Source organism: Homo sapiens, chromosome 20 (assembly GCF_000001405.40).
Source record: "Homo sapiens chromosome 20, GRCh38.p14 Primary Assembly".
Taxonomy (NCBI): domain Eukaryota; kingdom Metazoa; phylum Chordata; class Mammalia; order Primates; family Hominidae; genus Homo; species Homo sapiens.
This window is the reverse complement of record NC_000020.11, coordinates 53,464,918-53,485,579: the sequence shown is the minus strand read 5'-3', so window position 1 is coordinate 53,485,579 and position 20,662 is coordinate 53,464,918. Positions and strand designations below refer to the sequence as shown.

At 42.0% G+C, this 20,662-nt stretch overlaps 1 protein-coding gene and 1 long non-coding RNA gene across 12 annotated transcripts in view, besides 1 other annotated feature; one reads left to right on the top strand and one right to left on the bottom strand.

The window, feature by feature from the left end:
• TSHZ2 (teashirt zinc finger homeobox 2) overlaps nt 1-20,662 on the bottom strand; it is a 522,973-nt gene that overhangs the window by 9,751 nt on the left and 492,560 nt on the right. The window lies entirely within an intron of this gene.
• Nucleotides 1-20,662, top strand: part of TSHZ2-AS1 (TSHZ2 antisense RNA 1) — a 72,348-nt gene that overhangs the window by 18,739 nt on the left and 32,947 nt on the right. The window lies entirely within an intron of this gene.
• Nucleotides 12,051-12,668: an enhancer, noted in NCBI's record as "H3K27ac-H3K4me1 hESC enhancer chr20:52089451-52090068 (GRCh37/hg19 assembly coordinates)". NCBI's record gives its function as "activates a minimal SCP1, AML or CMV promoter by ChIP-STARR-seq in primed H9 embryonic stem cells {active_cell/tissue: H9 hESC(primed)}" and the evidence as "EXISTENCE:reporter gene assay evidence [ECO:0000049][PMID:30033119]".

Sequence of the window (20,662 nt, the reverse complement as noted above, 5' to 3'; positions counted from 1 at the left end):
GCATCACCATGCCCAGCTAATTTTTGTATTTTTAGTAGAGACAGGGTTTCACCATGTTGGCCAGGCTAGTCTTGAACTCCTGACCTCAAGTGATCCGCCTGCCTCAGCCTCCCAAAGAGCTGGGATTACAGGTGTGAGCCACTGTGTCTGGCCTTCCCATGCATTTCGTTAGGTTTACATAGTTATATATGCTGACTATATGAGGCACCTGTCTGGAGGTATTTCTTCACTGGAAAGCATCAGTATAAACAGCTGTAGAAGTTCTATCACATACATTATAATAGTTTATGATACTACGATAATGTAATATTGGACATTTAATGTTTGCAATTTTTATTCAATAATACATAACACTATGATGAACATCTTTGCGTTTCAAGCTTTTCTGTATGCTGGAATATTTTCATAGGCTTAAATTCTTAAGTGTGGAATTCCTGTCAAAAGATAGGAACGTTTTCGGTAGAGAAGTGCTACTTAATAACAGGGTGATTTTTCTTTCCAAGAACTTTGCTCTGGATTACTGTGTGGAAAGCATGCAATTTCCTTCAGCCCAATCTGAGTGAAGTTTCTTGTTTACATCTTGTTATTTGGTGGTAATGTTCATTTTAGTGAGAAAAAACACTGAACCTAAATATGATTAGTCTTTTTAGAAAAGGAAAGCTTCCAAATTTCTAGTGGAAGGATAAAGACAAATTGAAAATCAGATGACATTTGATATGTGTACAGAAATGATGCACAAGATAATCATAACAGACATTTGAAACTATTCCTTGGTAAGGAATAGTATGACTGGAATACTAGCAACCAGTTATTATGTATCTACCAAATTCCAGTCACTTTATACACATTACTGTTAACTCTTGAAACAATCTCATTTTAAAAATGAGAGATAAAGGACGAGCATGGTGGTGCACGCCTGTAATCCCAGCACCTTGGGAGGCAACGGCGGGCGGATCACATGAGGCTATGAGATCAAGACCAGCCTAGTAAGCATGGCGAAACTCTGTCTCTACTAAAAACACAAAAATTAGCTGGGCATGGTGGTGCACCTCTGAAATTCCAGCTACTCAGGAGGCTGAGGCATGAGAATCGCTTGAACCTGGGAGGCGGAGGTTGTAGTGAGCCAAGATCGCACCACTGCATTCCAGCTTGGGCAACAGAGTGAGACTCTGTCTTAAAAAAAAAAAAAAAAAAAAAGAGAGAGATAAAAGTAAGTGACTTGTCCTAGGGTTCACAGCTAATAAAAAGCAGAGGATGGCTTTAAATTTAGTCCTTCCTACTCTGAAGCTTCCAAGCTCATGACAGGCACCACCCTACCTAGATTACAGGTGAATGCCTTGATCACCATCAGTGGAGAGAACCATTTCCCTTTGACATTAGATGTGCACTTGAGAGAAAAAGGGTCCCTGGCAATCTTTGTTTTGAGTTGGTTGAGATCCTCTGGCAGGTCTAGAAGCTTAAAGGAGGGTGATCATGTGGTTGGAAGAAGAGAGATGGGTCAAAGGAAAAGTGGAGACCACAAATTGGTGGACTTTTGGAAACTGCAATGGCATTACACTGTGAAACAAGAGTGAAGTCCTGGCTGAAGGACTGTTTCACACCAGGCCTACTGCAGGCTGTCATTTTCTCCTCTTTGACCATGATATTAATATGATATCAATTTCATGGAACTTTGTTTTATTATCACTTCCTTGAAGTGGCTCCACATTAAATCAACACCCAGACTTTTCTAACTGAGTTTCTCTTAGGGCAAAGTTTGTCCTGGGAATGAAAGTAAGGAGAAAGAAAATAATGATTTTATTATAGTTCCTGTCTTGGAAATTCACAACACACATTAACATATTAAAGACTCTGAGAAGTCCTGCAATTAAAATCAAACCAAACATAGTGTGTCTTTACTTAACTCAGTACTTGCCAGGTTTATTTGATAACTCTTTTCTTCCCTATTTAAGATTCACAAATATACCTGAGTGTTGTTTGCTGAAAAATACCTTCATGACAGATCCTTTTTGTTTTTTAATTTTTTAATTAAAAATTTGTTTTGTTTTGTTTGGGGATGGGGGAGGTGGGGGACAGGGTTTTGTTCTGTCACCCACGCTAGAGTGCAGTGGTGCAATCACAGCTGACTGCAGCCTCGATCTCCTGGGCTCAATCCATCCTCCCACGTTAGCCTCCTGAGTAGCTGGGACTACAGGTGCGCCACCATGCCCGGCTAAGTTTTGTATTTTGTAGAGCCTCCTGGGCTCAGGGGATCCTCCCACCTCAGCCTCCTGAAAAGCTGGGACAAGTGTGCATTAGCACACCTGGTTTATTCTTTTGTATTTTTTGTACAGACAGGGTTTTGCCATGTTGCCCAGGCCAAGCCATTCTCCCCGCCTTGGCCTCCCAAAGTGCTGAGATTACAGGCGTGAGCCACTGCACCTGGCCATTATCTGAGTATAGTTATTTTAAAATTTCAGATAACTATGTCTTTTATAAAACTTAGCTATGGGAGTATTTCTATTGGAGAAGTCTCCTGGATCCCACCATGACTGATGGAACTGGTGGGCTTTTGGTAAGGTCAGTGTTCCTACACTTGAAGAAGGGTAAAGAGAAGATCTGAATCTTGGACCACTTTGGGAAAACACATTATTATTTTTTAAAAATTATTTCTTTTTCTTTTTCTGTTTTTTTTGAGACAGAGTCTCACTCTGTTGCCCCGGCTTGAGTATAGTGGCTTGATCTTGGCTCCCTACAACCTCTGCCTCCTGGGCTCAGGTGATCTTCCCACCTCAGCCTCCTGAAAAACTGGGACCACAGGTGTGCACCAGCACACCTGGCTAATTTTTTTGTATTTTTTGTAGAGACAGGGTTTCGCCACGTTGCCCAGGCTGGTCTTGAACTCCTGGGCTCAAGCCATTCTCCCTGCCTTGGCCTCCCAAAGTGCTGGGATTACAGGCGTGAGCCACCATGTGCAGCCCTATTTTTAATTTTTGTGTGCACATAGTAGGTGTATATAGTTATGGTGTACATGAGATGTTTTGATACAGGCATGCAATGTGAAATAAGCACAAATGACAGATTCCTGTGTGAAAACCAAGGAAGTTTTCCAGTTCTCAAGACCTCAGTCCTGATTTTGTTATTGACTTTCTGTGATTCTTGACTCAGGTTATCTGGCTTTTTTGGATCTCAGCATGAAAGGATCCTGTTGTGGTGACAATGTGACATTGCTTCACCTTGTGTCAACTTCACAATGCTGCAGTTCAGGAGATCATAATTTCTACACTTTCAACCTAGGAAACAGAGGGTTAAGAGATGTAAAGATGTTGGGCCTGTGGTCATTCTTGTCTCTTCAACCACTGCTTCTTATACGGCTTGTAATAATTTGGTATTGTTTTCAAGTGCTGAACATTGACATTATTAGTGATTTAGAGGCGTTTTCCCAAGAATATCTGAGTATAGTTACTTTTTTTTTTTTTTTTTTTTTTTTTTATGAGATGGAGTTTCGCTCTTGTTGCCCAGGCTGCAGTGCAATGGCACGATATCTCGACTCACTGCAACTTCTACCTCCCGGATTCAAGCAATTCTCCTGCCTCAGCCTCCCGAGTAGCTGGGATTACAGGCATACGCCACCATGCCTGGCTAATTTTGTATTTTTAGTAGAGATGAAGCTTTCTCCATGTTGGTCAGGCTGGTCTCGATCTCCCGACCTCAGGAGATCCACCCACCTCGGCCTCCTGAAGTGCTGGGAGTACAGGCGTAAGCCACTGCACCCGGCCATTATCTGAGTATAGTTACTTTTAAATTTCAGATACCTATGTCTTTTATGAAACTTAGCTATGGGAGTATTTCTATTGGAGAAGTCTCCTGGATCCCACCATGACTGATGGAAGTGGTGGGGGCTTTTGGAAAGGTCAGTGTTCCTATACTTGAAGAAGGGTAAAGAGAAGATCCAAATCTTGGACCACTTTGGGACAACACACTATTATTTTTTTAAAATTCTTTTTTTTTTCTATTTTTTTTGAGACAGGGTCTCACTCTGTCACCCAGAGTGGCTTGAGTACAGTGGCATGATCTTTGTTCACTGCAACCTCTGCCTCCTGGGCTCAGGTGATCCTCCCACCTCAGCCTCCTGAAAAGCTGGGACCACAGGTGTGCACCAGGACATCCGGCTAATTTTTTTGTATTTTTTGTAGAGACAGGGTTTCGCCACGTTGCCCAGGCTAGTCTTGAACTCCTGAACTCAAGCAATCCTATTGCCTTGACCTCCCAAAGTGTTGGGATTACAGGCATGAGGCACCGTGCCTAGCCAAATTATTTCTTATATTAAAAGAAAAGTAAAGTAAAAACCTCATTTCTCTCTGTGCCTAAAGAGGAGATCCTGGCAGATAATTAAACCTGAAAAATGAAGGGAAGGGGAATAAGAGAACTGTTGTTAGTATTTCCTGCTGTTCAGAATGAATTGCATAGAACAGATTGAGAAAAAAAGGAAGTGGATACTGTTAGTTGCCTCTCAAATGGTAGTTGAGGCTGGGCTTTGCTGCTGCATTTTTTTTTCTAATATATTGAGCTACTACTATAAAAATAAAATGGAAATAAATAAAAAATTTAATTACATATCTAAAAAGTTCTTGGCAGTGTTCATTAAGTAGTTTGTGAGGGAGAGCCAGGCGAAGAGATGTAATTATTTTTGTATTAATTACAGAGCCACCAACAGATGCGTAGAATGACATATGCTTTAATTTGGCCATGCCAGCCTTTCTCATCCCCTGGCACAGCATTTTGGCTGGCTCCTACTCTTCTTGCCTTCCTCCTGCCTACCCCCTTCTCTCTTCACTCTCTGCTGTTGTTCTTATGCGACACTCCCATTTTTAGGGCATGTCTTATGGTTGCTAAAAGGGGGCACTGCTGGCATTTAGTGGTTAGGGGCTGGGAACGTGAGGCTCCTTGCAATGTGTGAGACAGTTTCACACAAGGTGCTGTTGTCCATCATCCTGCACCCATTTTTTATTTTTTTCTTTTTTTTTTTTTTAGAAGGTAGGGTCTTGCTCTGTCATTCAGGCTGGAGTGCAGTGGCACGATCATAGTTCACTGCAGCCTTGATCTCCTGGGCTCAAGTGAACCTCCTGATTCAGCTGCCTGAGTAGCTGGTACTACAGGCGCATGCCACCACAGTAGGCTAATTTTTAAATTTTTTTGTAGAGATGGAGTCTCTACAAAAACACCTGGGTTGGCTGGGCACGGTGGCTCATGCTTGTAATCCCAGCACTTTGGGAGGCTGAGGCAGGTGGATCACCTGAGGTCAGGAGTTAAAGACCAGCCTGGCCAACATGGAGAAACCCAGTCTCTATTAAAAATACAAAAATTAGCTGGTGGTGGTGGCAGGCGCCTGTAATCCCAGCTACTCAGGAGGCTGGGGCAGGAGAATCATTTGAACCCAGCAGGTGGAGGTTGCAGTGAGTCGAGATCACATCGTTGCACTCTAGCCTGGGCAACAAGAGTGAAACTCCATCTCAAAAAAAAAAAAAAAACAAAAACCTGGGTTATGTTGTCCATGCTGGTCTTCAACTCCTGGGCTCGAGTGATCCTCCCGCCTCGTCCTCCCAAAGTATTGGGATTATAGGTGTGAGCCATTACTCTCAGTCTGTACCATTTTTGAAAATATCTCTGCAAGCCAGTTTTTCTCTAACTTGGCCCTGTTAATATTTTCAGCCAGATAGATACTTCCTTTTGGTGGGGGCCGCCCGTCTATGCATTGTAGATATTCAGCCTCATCCCTGGCTTCTACCCACTAGATGCCAGCAGCATCTGCTTTACCCCTGAGTTGTGACAACTGAAGTTGTGTCTAGACACTGTCAAATGCCCATTGGGCGTGGAGGACAAAATTGTCTTTGGTTCAAAACCTTTTTATAATTATCTGAGGCTAGAACTTAACTCTGTTTTACATATAAACACAAAGTCTTTTCTGCACAGTTTAACACACATTGTAATTTCCAGAAATAAAGCTTATCTGACAAAGAGAACCTGTATTTTGCTTTATTTGGAATTTAATGGGAGTTATTTGCCATTTTAGAAAATCAAGTCACCTTTGTATTACTGTTCATGATCCTCAAGACCCCCATTCAATCCACCCATATTGCTCTGCGTTTACCACTGACATGTTCACGGTGAGTCTGCCTATGGCGCACATCTGACTGCCTCATTACATCTTCTAGGATGTTGTTACTCTGAGGGTGGTCCATATAACAGCAGTACTGGGATCACCTAGAGCTTGTCAGAAATGCAGAATACAGGGCCCACCCCAAGCTGCTGATTTGGAACCTGCATTTTAATAGAATGTTTGGGCAATTTTTGTACATGCTCGAGTTTGAGAAGCCCTGTTCTGGTGCATTTTCATGTCTCAATTTTCTCCTTTTTTTTTTTTTTTTTTTAAATTGAGACAGAGTCTTGCCCTGTTGCCCAGGCTGGAGTGCAGTGGCGCGATCTTGGCTCACTGCAACCTCCGCCTCCTGGGTTCAAGTGATTCTCCTGCCTCAGTCTACTGAGTAGCTGGGATTACAGGCATGCGCCACCACACCCGGCTAATTTTTGTATTTTTAGTAGAGATGGGGTTTCACCATGTTGACCAGACTGGTCTGGAATCCCTGATCCGAAGTGATCCACCCACCTGGGCCTCCTAAAGTGCTGGGATTATAGGTGTAAGTCACTGTGCCAGGCCCCTTTCTTTTTTATTAGATGATTTCTTTTTGCGGTTTGTGTGTAGGCTGGCCACCCGATCTAGAAATTTTATTTCAGGATGGTAAAAGGAAGTTATAAAATGCTTGTCCTAAAATGTCAACAGTGAGTCTGCAAAGGCGGAGGACCTCTGCTCCCCACGAGCTCTTTCTTTTTTTTAATCTGATAACTAAATTTATTTATTTATTTTTATTTTTTATTTATTTTTTATTAAAGTTTTAGGGTACATGTGCACATTGTGTAGGTTAGTTACATATGTATACATGTGCCATGCTGGTGCGCTGCACCCACCAACTCGTCATCTAGCATTAGGTATATCTCCCAATGCTATCCCTCCCCCCTCCCCCCACCCTACAACAGTCCCCAGAGTGTGATATTCCCCTTCCTGTGTCCATGTGATCTCATTGTTCAATTCCCACCTATGAGTGAGAATATGCAGTGTTTGGTTTTTTGTTCTTGCGATAGTTTACTGAGAATGATGACTTCCAATTTCATCCATGTCCCTACAAAGGACATGAACTCATCCATTTTCATGGCTGCATAGTATTCCATGGTGTATATGTGCCACATTTTCTTAATCCAGTCTATCATTGTTGGACATTTGGGTTGGTTCCAAGTCTTTGCTATTGTGAATAATGCCACAATAAACATATGTGTGCATGTGTCTTTATAGCAGCATGATTTATAGTCCTTTGGGTATATACCCAGTAATGGGATGGCTGGGTCAAATGGTATTTCCAGTTCTAGATCCCTGAGGAATCGCCACACTGACTTCCACAATGGTTGAACTAGTTTACAGTCCCACCAACAGTGTAAAAGTGTTCCTATTTCTCCCCATCCTCTCCAGCACCTGTTGTTTCCTGACTTTTTAATGATTGCCATTCTAACTAGTGTGAGATAGTATCTCATTGTGGTTTTGATTTGCATTTCTCTGATGGCCAGTGATGATGAGCATTTTTTCAGGTGTCTGTTGGCTGCATAAATGTCTTCTTTTGAGAAGTGTCTGTTCATGTCCTTCGCCCACTTTTTGATGGGGTTGTTTGTTTTTTTCTTGTAAATTTGTTTGAGTTCATTGTAGATTCTGGATATTAGCCCTTTGTCAGATGAGTAGGTTGTGAAAATTTTCTCCCATTTTGTAGGTTGCCTGTTCACTCTGATGGTAGTTTCTTTTGCTGTGCAGAAGCTCTTTAGTTTAATTAGATCCCAATTGTCAATTTTGTCTTTTGTTGCCATTGCTTTTGGTGTTTTAGACATGAAGTCCTTGCCCATGCCTATGTCCTGAATGGTAAAGCCTAGGTTTTCTTCTAGGGTTTTTATGGTTTTAGGTCTAACGTTTAAGTCTTTAATCCATCTTGAATTGATTTTTGTATAAGGTGTAAGGAAGGGATCCAGTTTCAGCTTTCTACATATGGCTAGCCAGTTTTCCCAGCACCATTTATTAAACAGGGAATCCTTTCCCCATTGCTTGTTTTTCTCAGGTTTGTCAAAGATCAGATAGTTGTAGATATGCGGCATTATTTCTGAGGGCTCTGTTCTGTTCCATTGATCTATATCTCTGTTTTGGTACCAGTACCATGCTGTTTTGGTTACTGTAGCCTTGTAGTATAGTTTGAAGTCAGGTAGTGTGATGCCTCCAGCTTTGTTCTTTTGGCTTAGGATTGCCTTGGCGATGCGGGCTCTTTTTTGGTTCCATATGAACTTTAAAGTAGTTTTTTCCAATTCTGTGAAGAAAGGCATTGGTAGCTTGATGGGGATGGCATTGAATCTGTAAATTACCTTGGGCAGTATGGCCATTTTCACGATATTGATTCTTCCTACCCATGAGCATGGAATGTTCTTCCATTTGTTTGTATCCTCTTTTATTTCCTTGAGCAGCGGTTTGTAGTTCTCCTTGAAGAGGTCCTTCACATCCCTTGTAAGTTGGATTCCTAGGTATTTTATTCTCTTTGAAGCAATTGTGAATGGGAGTTCACTCATGATTTGGCTCTCTGTTTGTCTGTTGTTGGTGTATAAGAATGCTTGTGATTTTTGCACATTGATTTTGTATCCTGAGACTTTGCTGAAGTTGCTTATCAGCTTAAGGAGATTTTGGGGTGAGACAATGGGGTTTTCTAGATATACAATCATGTCATCTGCAAACAGGGACAATTTGACTTCCTCTTTTCCTAATTGAATACCCTTTATTTCCTTCTCCTGCCTAATTGCCCTGGCCAGAACTTCCAACACTATGTTGAATAGGAGTGGTGACAGAGGGCATCCCTGTCTTGTGCCAGTTTTCAAAGGGAATGCTTCCAGTTTTTGCCCATTCAGTATGATATTGGCTGTGGGTTTGTCATAGATAGCTCTTATTATTTTGAAATACGTCCCATCAATACCTAATTTATTGAGAGTTTTTAGCACGAAGTGTTGTTGAATTTTGTCAAAGGCCTTCTCTGCATCTATTGAGATAATCATGTGGTTTTTGTCTTTGGCTCTGTTTATATGCTGGATTACACTTATTGATTTGCCTATATTGAACCAGCCTTGCATCCCAGGGATGAAGCCCACTTGATCATGGTGGATAAGCTTTTTGATGTGCTGCTGGATTCGTTTTGCCAGTATTTTATTGAGGATTTTTGCATCAATGTTCATCAAGGATATTGGTCTAAAATTCTCTTTTTTTGTTGTGTCTCTGCCTGGCTTTGGTATCAGAATGATGCTGGCCTCATAAAAAGAGTTAGGGAGGATTCTCTCTTTTTCTATTGATTGGAATAGTTCCAGAAGGAATGGTACCAGTTCCTCCTTGTACCTCTGGTAGAATTCGGCTGTGAATCCATCTGGTCCTGGACTCTTTTTGGTTGGTAAGCTATTGATTATTGCCACAATTTCAGATCCTGTTATTGGTCTATTCAGAGATTCAACTTCTTCCTGGTTTAGTCTTGGGAGAGTGTATGTGTCGAGGAATTTATCCATTTCTTCTAGATTTTCTAGTTTATTTGCATAGAGGTGTTTGTAGTATTCTCTGATGGTAGTTTGTATTTCTGTGGGATCGGTGGTGATATCCCCTTTGTCATTTTTTATTGCGTCTATTTGATTCTTCTCTCTTTTCTTCTTTATTAGTCTTGCTAGTGGTCTATCAATTTTGTTGATCCTTTCAAGAAACCAGCTCCTGGATTCATTAATTTTTTGAAGGGTTTTTTGTGTCTCTATTTCCTTCAGTTCTGCTCTGATTTTAGTTATTTCTTGCCTTCTACTAGCTTTTGAATGTGTTTGCTCTTGCTTTTCTAGTTCTTTTAATTGTGATGTTAGGGTGTCAATTTTGGATCTTTCCTGCTTTCTCTTGTGGGCATTTAGTGCTATAAATTTCCCTCTACACACTGCTTTGAATGCGTCCCAGAGATTCTGGTATGTTGTGTCTTTGTTCTCGTTGGTTTCAAAGAACATCTTCATTTCTGCCTTCATTTCGTTATGTACCCAGTAGTCATTCAGGAGCAGGTTGTTCAGTTTCCATGTAGTTGAGCGGTTTTGAGTGAGATTCTTAATCCTGAGTTCTAGTTTGATTGCACTGTGGTCTGAGAGATAGTTTGTTATAATTTCTGTTCTTTTACATTTGCTGAGGAGAGCTTTACTTCCAAGTATGTGGTCAATTTTGGAATAGGTGTGGTGTGGTGCTGAAAAAAATGTATATTCTGTTGATTTGGGGTGGAGAGTTATGTAGATGTCCATTAGGTCCACTTGGTGCAGAGCTGAGTTCAATTCCTGGGTATCCTTGCTGACTTTCTGTCTCGTTGATCTGTCTAATGTTGACAGTGGGGTGTTAAAGTCTCCCATTATTAATGTGTGGGAGTCTAAGTCTCTTTGTAGGTCACTCAGAACTTGCTTTATGAATCTGGGTGCTCCTGTATTGGGTGCATATATATTTAGGATAGTTAGCTCTTCTTGTTCAATTGATCCCTTTACCATTATGTAATGGCCTTCTTTGTCTCTTTTGATCTTTGTTGGTTTAAAGTCTGTTTTATCTGAGACTAGGATTGCAACCCCTGCCTTTTTTTGTTTTCCATTTGCTTGGTAGATCTTCCTCCATCCTTTTATTTTGAGCCTATGTGTGTCTCTGCACTTGAGATGGGTTTCCTGAATACAGCACACTGATGGGTCTTGACTCTTTATCCAATTTGCCAGTCTGTGTCTTTTAATTGGAGCATTTAGTCCATTTACATTTAAAGTTAATACTGTTATGTGTGAATTTTATCCTGTCATTATGATGTTAGCTGGTGATTTTGCTCGTTAGTTGATGCAGTTTCTTCCTAGTCTGGATGGTCTTTACATTTTGGCATGATTTTGCAGCGGCTGGTACCGGTTGTTCTTTTCCATGTTTAGCGCTTCCTTCAGGAGCTCTTTTAGGGCAGGCCTGGTGGTGACAAAATCTCTCAGCATTTGCTTGTCTGTAAAGTATTTTATTTCTCCTTCACTTATGAAGCTTAGTTTGGCTGGATATGAAATTCTGGGTTGAAAATTCTTTTCTTTAAGAATGTTGAATATTGGCCCCCACTCTCTTCTGGCTTGTAGGGTTTCTGCTGAGAGATCCGCTGTTAGTCTGATGGGCTTCCCTTTGAGGGTAACCCGACCTTTCTCTCTGGCTGCCCTTAACATTTTTTCCTTCATTTCAACTCTGGTGAATCTGACAATTATGTGTCTTGGAGTTGCTCTTCTCGAGGAGTATCTTTGTGGCGTTCTCTGCATTTCCTGAATCTGAACGTTGGCCTGCCTTGCTAGATTGGGGAAGTTCTCCTGGATAATATCCTGCAGAGTGTTTTCCAACTTGGTTCCATTCTCTCCATCGCTTTCAGGTACCCCAATCAGACGTAGATTTGGTCTTTTCACATAGTCCCATATTTCTTGGAGGCTTTGCTCATTTCTTTTTATTCTTTTTTCTCTAAACTTCTCTTCTCGCTTCATTTCATTCATTTCATCTTCCATCGCTGATACCCTTTCTTCCAGTTGATTGCATCGCTTCCTGAGGTTTCTGCCTTCTTCACGTAGTTCTCCAGCCTTGGTTTTCAGCTCCATCAGCTCCTTTAAGCACTTCTCTGTATTGGTTATTCTAGTTATACATTCTTCTAAAGTTTTTTCAAAGTTTTCAACTTCTTTGCCTTTGGTTTGAATGTCCTCCCGTAGCTCAGAGTAATTTGATCGTCTGAAGCCTTTTTCTCTCAGCTCGTCAAAGTCATTCTCCATCCAGCTTTGTTCCGTTGCTGGTGAGGAACTGCGTTCCTTTGGAGGAGGAGAGGCGCTCTGCGTTTTAGAGTTTCCAGTTTTTCTGTTCTGTTTTTTCCCCATCTTTGTGGTTTTATCTACTTTTGGTCTTTGATGATGGTGATGTACAGATGGGTTTTTGGTGTGGATGTCCATTCTGTTTGTTAGTTTTCCTTCTAACAGACAGGACCCTCAGCCACAGGTCTGTTGGAATACCCTGCCGTGTGAGGTGTCAGTGTGCCCCTGCTGGGGGGTGCCTGCCAGTTAGGCTGCTCGGGGGTCAGGGGTCAGGGACCCACTTGAGGAGGCAGTCTGCCCGTTCTCAGATCTCCAGCTGCGTGCTGGGAGAACCACTGCTCTCTTCAAAGCTGTCAGACAGGGACATTTAAGTCTGCAGAGGTTACTGCTGTCTTTTTGTTTGTCTGTGCCCTGCCCCCAGAGGTGGAGCCTACAGAGGCAGGCAGGACTCCTTGAGCTGTGGTGGGCTGGGCCCAGTTGGAGCTTCCCGGCTGCTTTGTTTACCTAAGCAAGCCTGGGCAATGGCGGGCGCCCCTCCCCCAGCCTCACTGCCATCTTGCAGTTTGATCTCAGACTGCTGTGCTAGCAATCAGCGAGACTCCGTGGGCGTAGGACCCTCCCAGCCAGGTGCGGGATATAATCTCGTGGTGCGCCGTTTTTTAAGCCCGTCGGAAAAGCGCAGTATTCGGGTGAGAGTGACCCGATTTCCAGGTGCCGTCCGTCACCCCTTTCTTTGACTCGGAAAGGGAACTCCCTGACCCCTTGCGCTTCCCGAGTGAGGCAATGCCTCACCCTGCTTCGGCTCGCGCACGGTGCGCGCACCCACTGACCTGCGCCCACTGTCTGCCACTCCCTAGTGAGATGAACCTGGTACCTCAGATGGAAATGCAGAAATCACCGTCTTCTGCGTCGCTCAGGCTGGGAGCTGTAGACTGGAGCTGTTCCTATTCGGCCATCTTGGCTCCTCCCTCCCCCCTGAGGAGCTCTTTCTAAGCAGCATCTTCCAGTTCTGAAACTTGAAATATCGTCTGCGTGCTGGTGACTGTGAGTTCCAGATCTGAACATCCAGCTGGCATCTTGGCATCTGTTTGTGAAGATCTCACAACTACTTCAATAAAACCTTTCCCCAAACAGGGTGCTTGCACCCCCAATCCTTATTCTGTACCCCTCTGTATTCCTCTTCACAGGAAATGGAACTCATATGACTCAACTTTCAGCCAGAAAGTTCGGTCGTCTTTGACTGTGCCCTCACTCCTCCCTCGCATCCAATGGCTCACCCTGACCCTAGTCATGAAATCCTCCCGAACTGTATTTCCACGGCCACCTGCAATTGTGCACACAATTCAGGCCTGCGCCTATCTGCCCTGGATGGCTGTGGCATTCGCTCAGTGGGCTGTTTTAGTCCACTTGGTGTCCTTCTGATAACTTTCCATATAGCAAACAAAGTGAGCTTATAAAATCTCAAATTAAGTTGGGTCACTCCTCATTCCAGCTTAGAATCTGTCAATGGCCTGGCCGGGCGCGGGCTCACACCTGTAGTCCCAGCACTTTGGGAGGCCTAGGCAGGCAGATCACCTGACATCGGGAGTTTGAGACCAGCCTGACCAACATGAAGAAACCCTGTCTCTACTAAAAATACAAAATTAGCTGGGCGTGGTGGCACATGCCTGTAATCTCAGCTACTCGGGAGGCTGAGGCAGGAGAATCGCTTGAACTGGGAGATGGAGGTCGTAGTGAGCCGAGATCATGCCATTGTGCTCCAGCCTGGGCAACAAGAGTGAAACTCTATCTCAAAAAAAAAAAAAAAAAAAAGAAAAGAAAAGTGTCTACGGCACTTAGAAAAAAGACAAACTTGTTTTAATGTCCTGCTTGATCTGGTCTTGCCATCCCTCTGCCTTCACCTGGGTCCCTCTGCCACTTGATATATACCAAGAACACTGGCCTCAGGGTCTTTGCACGTGCTGCTCCCTCTGCTTAGCATGCTCTTCTTCCCACTCTTTGTTTGGCCAGCACCTTTTCATCCTTGAAGTCTCAGTTCAGATGGTGCTTTCTCAAATAAGTCTTTTCTTACCCATAGGACTTGACTACATTCTTTTGTTATCATCTTGCATGAACCTTTTGCAGTGTCCTTATAAGACTTATTGCAGCGTATAAGCACATCATCGCATATATAATTTTGAGTTTAGTGCCTGCCTGTGTAAACTCCAGGAAGGTGAGAGTTTGAGCACAGCACAGTCCCAAGTATAAAACCCACTATCTGTCACAGAGTGGGTCCTTGATAAATACTTGTTGAATGAATGGAGTTCTAAAGACACTAATTTGAAGCCTATCTTTTCTAACATGGAAACCATGAAGGGTTTTAAAGTATTTATCACTAAAACAATACAAAAGAAAAAAAAATAGATGTACCTAGAATCCTATTTCTCTAATTCTATGAAAGAAACAACTTAGAGCATGGAAAGAGACTGGAAAAATAGCCCAAGGAAACACAAGCGGACTCCAGAAGCTTTGCCATCTATTTGGTGCTTTCAAGTTCAAAGAATAATTTTGTCTGTCATTTTGAAGCAATTTACATTTTTTTCAAAGACCATTCATATACATTCTCTTTTGAAACATATTGGATAAATATTAGTACCCCAAAGATAAAGAAGTTGAAGCAGAGGGAGTTTAAGTAACTTGCTCTCAGGGTGATTCAGTGATAGGTCAGGACACATGACTCCTAATTTAGGGCTTCTTAAAGCTGTTTGGTTGAAAATGAAAAAAGAAAAACCTATATTTAGTGTTTTATTTATTTATTTTTTTTGAGATGGATTTTTGCTCTATCATCCAGGCTGGAGTGCAGTGGCGCAATCTCCGCTCACTGCAACCTCTGCCTCCCGGGTTCAAGCGATTCTCTGTCTTAGCCTTCTGAGTGGCTGGGGTTACAGGTGCGCACCACCACACCTGACTAATTTTTGTATTTTTAGGAGGCGGGTTTCACTATTTTGGCCAGGCTGATTCTTGAACTCCTGGCCTCAAGTGATCTGCCCACCCCGGCCTCCCAAAGTACTGGGATTACAGGCATGAGCCACCGCGCCCGGCCAAGTGTTATTATTTTAAAAAGACTGTGACAAGGAAGCAAAGGAGCAATGGAGACACATGATGCTTAGCGGTGTAATCCTGGGAGAAACCTGTAGTTAATATTTTTCAAATGGAATTACAATTTGGAAATGCAAATTGGCTTATCTACATTGCTGAATTTCATTATTAGTGTTTCATTTAATTTTTCCTAAGAGAAATCTCTGTGTGAGGAAACCCTTCAACTTTAGTGGACAAATTTCAATTCTTAGAGTGAATAAAATACAGGTAATTGCTTAAATATATTGAATACTTTACTTTTGATATGCCAGACACAGCTTCATGTGGGTGAGTGGATACTATTTTAAAACACTTTCTGATGTATTGCCTTTCCTTAATTCCTTTCTTCCATGTAGTTTTCCCAGCGTTGACAACAGAGACTGAGACTAATTGCTGTCGGAAAGGGAGGTCACAAAATAAACCAGAAAGAACAAAGTGGCTGAGTTTCCAAATGGCAAGAGGGACTCTTTTTTTCTTCTTCTATCAAACCTCAGAACGGTTGAGTTAATGAAAACATTTTAACAGTTATATATCAGTAATATCTGGGTTGTGTCTGCCTGCCTGCCTGCCTGCCTGCCTTCCTTCCTTCCTTCCTTCCTCCTTTCCTCTCTCTCTTTTTTTTCTTTCTTGGGTCCTTCCTTCCTTCCTCCCTCCCTCCCTTCCTCCCTCTCTCTTTCTCTATCTTTGTTGGGTCCTTCCTTCCTTCCTTCCTCCCTCCCTCCCTCCCTTCCTCCCTCTCTATCTTTCTTGGGTCCTTCCTTCCTTCCTCCCTCCCTTCCTCCCTCTCTCTTTCTCTATCTTTCTTGGGTCCGTCCTTCCTTCCTTCCTTCCTTCCTTCCTTCCTTCCTTCCTTCCTTCCTTCCTCCCTCCCTTCCTCCCTCTCTATCTATCTTTCTTGGGTCCTTCCTTCCTTCCTTCCTTCCTTCCTTCCTTCCTTCCTTCCCTCCTTCTTTCTTTTCTTGACAGAGTCTCACTCACCCAGGCTGGAGTGCAGTGGCGTGATCTCGGCTCACTGCAACCTCCACCTCCTGGGTTCAAGTGATTCTCATGCCTCAGCCTCCCAAGTAGCTGGGACTACAGGCGTGCACCACCATGTCCAGCTAATTTTTGTATTTTTAGTAGAGATGGGGTTTCACCATGTTGGCCAGGCTGGTCTTGAACTTCTGACCTCAAGTGATCCACTCACCTCAGCCTCCCAGAGTGTGGGGATTACAGGTGTGATCCACTGCATCTGGCCATGATTGTCATTTTTGATCCACCACATATGCATTATTTCTGTTAATTATTAAAACAATCCAACAAGGTATCCAATATTACAGAGAAAAAAACCTCTCTAGGTTTAGAGACTTGAAGTGACCTATCTGAATAATTATAAGTGAAACCGAATATTCTAACATTCAATTAGAATATGTACATATATATATATATATATATATATATATATATATATATAAAATATCGATTTCAGAGCCTTTAGGTTTAACTGCCAAGCTAATTGTTCCTGATGTTGAGTTGGATCTGTACTGATGAGACCATTCATTCCTTGTCAAAGGGGTACTTCATCAGACCCTTGAAGAATAAGGGGACATGATCATGATAGTCGGCTTGGAACATTTAAATATAGATAGCATTCGGGTCATAATTGACACACTGGAAAATCCCAACTTCTGAACTTCCTCTTTTAAAGTACAATTTGTAATATGTGTCTCAAATGCATGATGTATGTTTCATGACACAAACCAGACGACCCACTGCCTTCAGCTTTCAAGTTGGAGGAGAGTTTTTTTAGTTTTTTTTTTTTTTTTTTTTTGTCTCGTAATGGATGCCAGAGAATCTTAACTGACCTCTACCTTATATAATCAACTTTGCATGTCTATGGAAATAATTTTTACGGCAAGTCCCCTTTTGCCTCCTTTATGGGCCACCTCTGAAATGGTTTAAGATCTCTTCACCAGTGTGTGCAAAATGGCTGTTGAACGCAACCAGCAGAAACAGGGCGATATCTTGGAGAACAACAACAACAAAAATGTCAGGCAAGAAGATGTGGGGCCTCCCAAGAGTGGAGGTTTCATTTGTGTCCTTAACTGTGTGTCAGCTTAGAAGATTTCAATGGCAGCAGAAAATCTTTTCCATAAAGCACACTCTTCAACTGCAGGCTGCCCAAGTAGTTAAGAAACAGAAATGAGAGAAATGGCATGAGAGTTTGCCCTGTGAAAATCTCCTGACAACTAATGATGGGATTATGGAGTCTTAACTGCTGAACAGTTATCCCTAATTATAATCAAAGGTATGTCAATCTAAATAAAAATGATAAGACAGAGAGGCATTCTCTGCTATCTACTCCACCCCCCTCCACTAGCTTTTTAACATGAATCTCTTCTCAGTATGATGCTTTGACAAAGCTTGGATTGAATAATTATAAAAAAGAGATGGAGCCCAGTGTTAAGTAAAACATTTTTGCAGGAAGGAGTGGTGTTATTTTTTTTTCTTTTACAGAAAGAATGTTTTTTTTTAGTTTCAAATATTTGGTTCTATCACGGGAACCTCCTGTCGTCTCTGTTGCATTTGACTATGTCACAAAAGTTATGTCATAAATCTCTTCCAGACACTACGTATTAGGGAAGACGTTGCTTGCTTTTAAAGCCTGGTACACATATCCTCATGGAAAGGTGGTTCTTGGGATGGATCATGTTTGCATTCTTGCTTTCACTACCAGGAAGCTCAGAGTCAAATTGGTGGCCCAACTTTAGTAATTATGTAGCCTCCTAAGGCTGCAGTCTATACCTGTAAACTTCTTTTGATATTCTCTTTCCATTTTCCTTTGGTATATGTGTTAATAGTTTGGCTCTGCCATTTACTAGCTGTGTGATATTGGGGGACATAACTTACCTTTTCTTAATCTCAGTTTCCGCATCAGCAAAATCAGGATAATAATATATAGTACTTTTCACAAATGTTGCCTGGCGTTCAATAAGTGCTTAACGAAATGTAGATATCTTTAATGATTTCTATTATTTCTTTTATAATTTTGCTGCATTGCATATAGTACAGTATCTTAAAACTGCTGTGGAATGAGATGTAGAATAAATTAAAAATACATGCATAAAATTCTGCTTATGTGTTACAAATAAGTAGTCATTAGGTCTTGGAAAATAGACCACTCTTTCCTTCTGGAAATTTAAAAAATGAAGTCAAAAAGCTCTTTCGTTGCTGCATTAAACAAATGTTGAAAAGAAATCAGTTGTCAATTCAGAAGGGAAGCTAAGAAAATTTTTCCCTTTTTATAAAAAAGGAGAAAATAGCATTTCAAAACATTTGATGTGGATATTAAGAAGAAGAAAGCAGAAAACAGTCATAATATCTACCATTTTATTAAGTGCTTGTTAGAAGCTCTGCCTTCCTCAGTACTACCTGACAGTAGATTTCATTGTCTGTATTTGTTGATGAGAAGAGAGAGCCTTGGATTGGCTAAGAAATGTAATCAAGATCAGATAGTTAGCAAGTGGGAGAGCCAGCCTTTGGGCTTAGGTCTGCCTGACTTCAAAGCCTGTTCTCTAACCAGTATTTATTGCTGTCAATGAAACTAACTAGAATCTTCCAAAGGCACATTGCTCAGTAAAGCTATATAATGCAAAATGATAAGGATTGAAAAACTACCCAGCTGTTGCCATCCTTTCAAAAGATAAATTAAAAGGGTCACAAAGATCAGGACAACATCCAGATCAGGACAACATCCTGACAATGGAGAGAGAAAATGTCCCTGGTGGCTTCAGTGTTAATTATAATTTCATGTTGAGCAATTATACTTAACACTTGACAATTGTCATATATGGTTGCTTTTGGGGTATGGCCATAGAAGAGAGAAAGGAGGCAATTTTCCTGTACCCATTTTTATTGAGCCACATTCGTATACTCCAAAAGAGCACTTAAATTGTTTGAAAGAGGTCTACATGCTGGCAAACACCACCATAAACAACCTGGACAGCTTAAAGTCCAAACCGCCAACAACATGATTCACAGTGAACCCATCTTCTCTAAGTGGAGTGCAGAGCCAATGTTATTTATTGCAGCTAACTTACAGCCCAACGAGATTCACTGCATGGACACAGCTAGGGGACTTTACTGCTGCCTAAAATGTGAGTTGCTGGCATTTAATAAGAACGGTATGCCCTCCAAGTATGGACATAAACAAGGTAGACTTTTTTTTTTTTCCTTTTTCTCTTTCTTTTTTTTTTTTTATTTTTATTTTTCGAGGCAGAGTCTTGCTCTGTCGCCCAGTCTAGAGTGCAACAGCACGATCTCGGCTCACTGCAACCTCTGCCTCCCCGGTTCAAGTGATTTCTCCTGCCTCAGCCACCCAAGTGGCTGGGATTACAGGCATGTGCCATCACACCCAGCTAATTTTTGTATTTTTAGTAGAGACGGGGTTTCACCATCTTGGCCAGGCTAGTCTCGAACTCCTGACCCTTGTGATTCACCTGCCTTGGGCCCCCCAAAGTGCTGGGATTACAGTCTTTTTTTTTTTTTTTTTTAACCACTGTGATTATATGTCTAAGCTCATGGTGGCGATGTTTGTGGTTGTGTCTACACTGGAAAAGAGGGTTGGTAGATTGGAACACACACTTAAATAATTCAGCCAAACCCTCTTCCTAAGAAGAGTTTGTATTCATTTTAATGGTAGTTTTCATTTATTGAGTTTCCATCTTTTGCCTGAAGCTTGACTGCTATTGTTTTATTTAATTGTTATAATAGTCCCTTAAAGATAGCTCTTATAAACTCCTTTTTCTTTTTGAGAGATCAGAAAACTGAGGGTCAGAGATCTAAGTACCAGGACCAACAGCACATGCCTGGGAAGTAGCAGAGCTGGGATTTGAACTCAGGTTTCTGTCACCAATGTACCCTGCTGCTTCATAGTAATAAAGATTTCTGGCTGGGTGCGGTGTCTCATGCCTACAATCCTAGCAATTTGGAAGGCCGAGGCAGGTGGCTCACTTGAGGTCAGGAGTTCAAGACCAGCCTGACCAACATGGTGAAAACTCGTCTTTACTAAAAATACAAAAATTAGTCGGGTGTGGTGGTGGGTGCCTGTAGTCCCAGCTTCTCGGGAGGCTGAGACAGGAGAATCTCTTGAACCCAGGAGGCAGAGGTTGCTGTGAGCCAAGATCGCGCCATTGCACTTCAGCCTGGGTGACAGAGCGAGACTCTGTCTCACACACACACACACACACAAAAGTAATAACTATTTCCCTTTACCAATTTGATTATTATCAATAATTACCAATTTTTACAAATGAGTGGCAAAATATGAGTTCTTACTTTCTCCTTATGGATGAAGTTTCGGGAGGTTAAATTGTCCCCTGCATTCACACAGCCATTTCCCAGTGAAGCTGGAATGAAATCAAGATTTGTCTGGAGCTCAACCCTGGCCTCACTGGGCTCCCCTGCCCTTTCCTGAAGTATGTTATGGGGAACCCAAGTTGCCCAGGATGCTCTAAGAAAAAAAGATGCTTTTAAAAGTTCAAGTATCCATGTTTTAAGTAAAAGCACCTCAAATATGTCTACCTCTAAGCTGAGCGTGGTG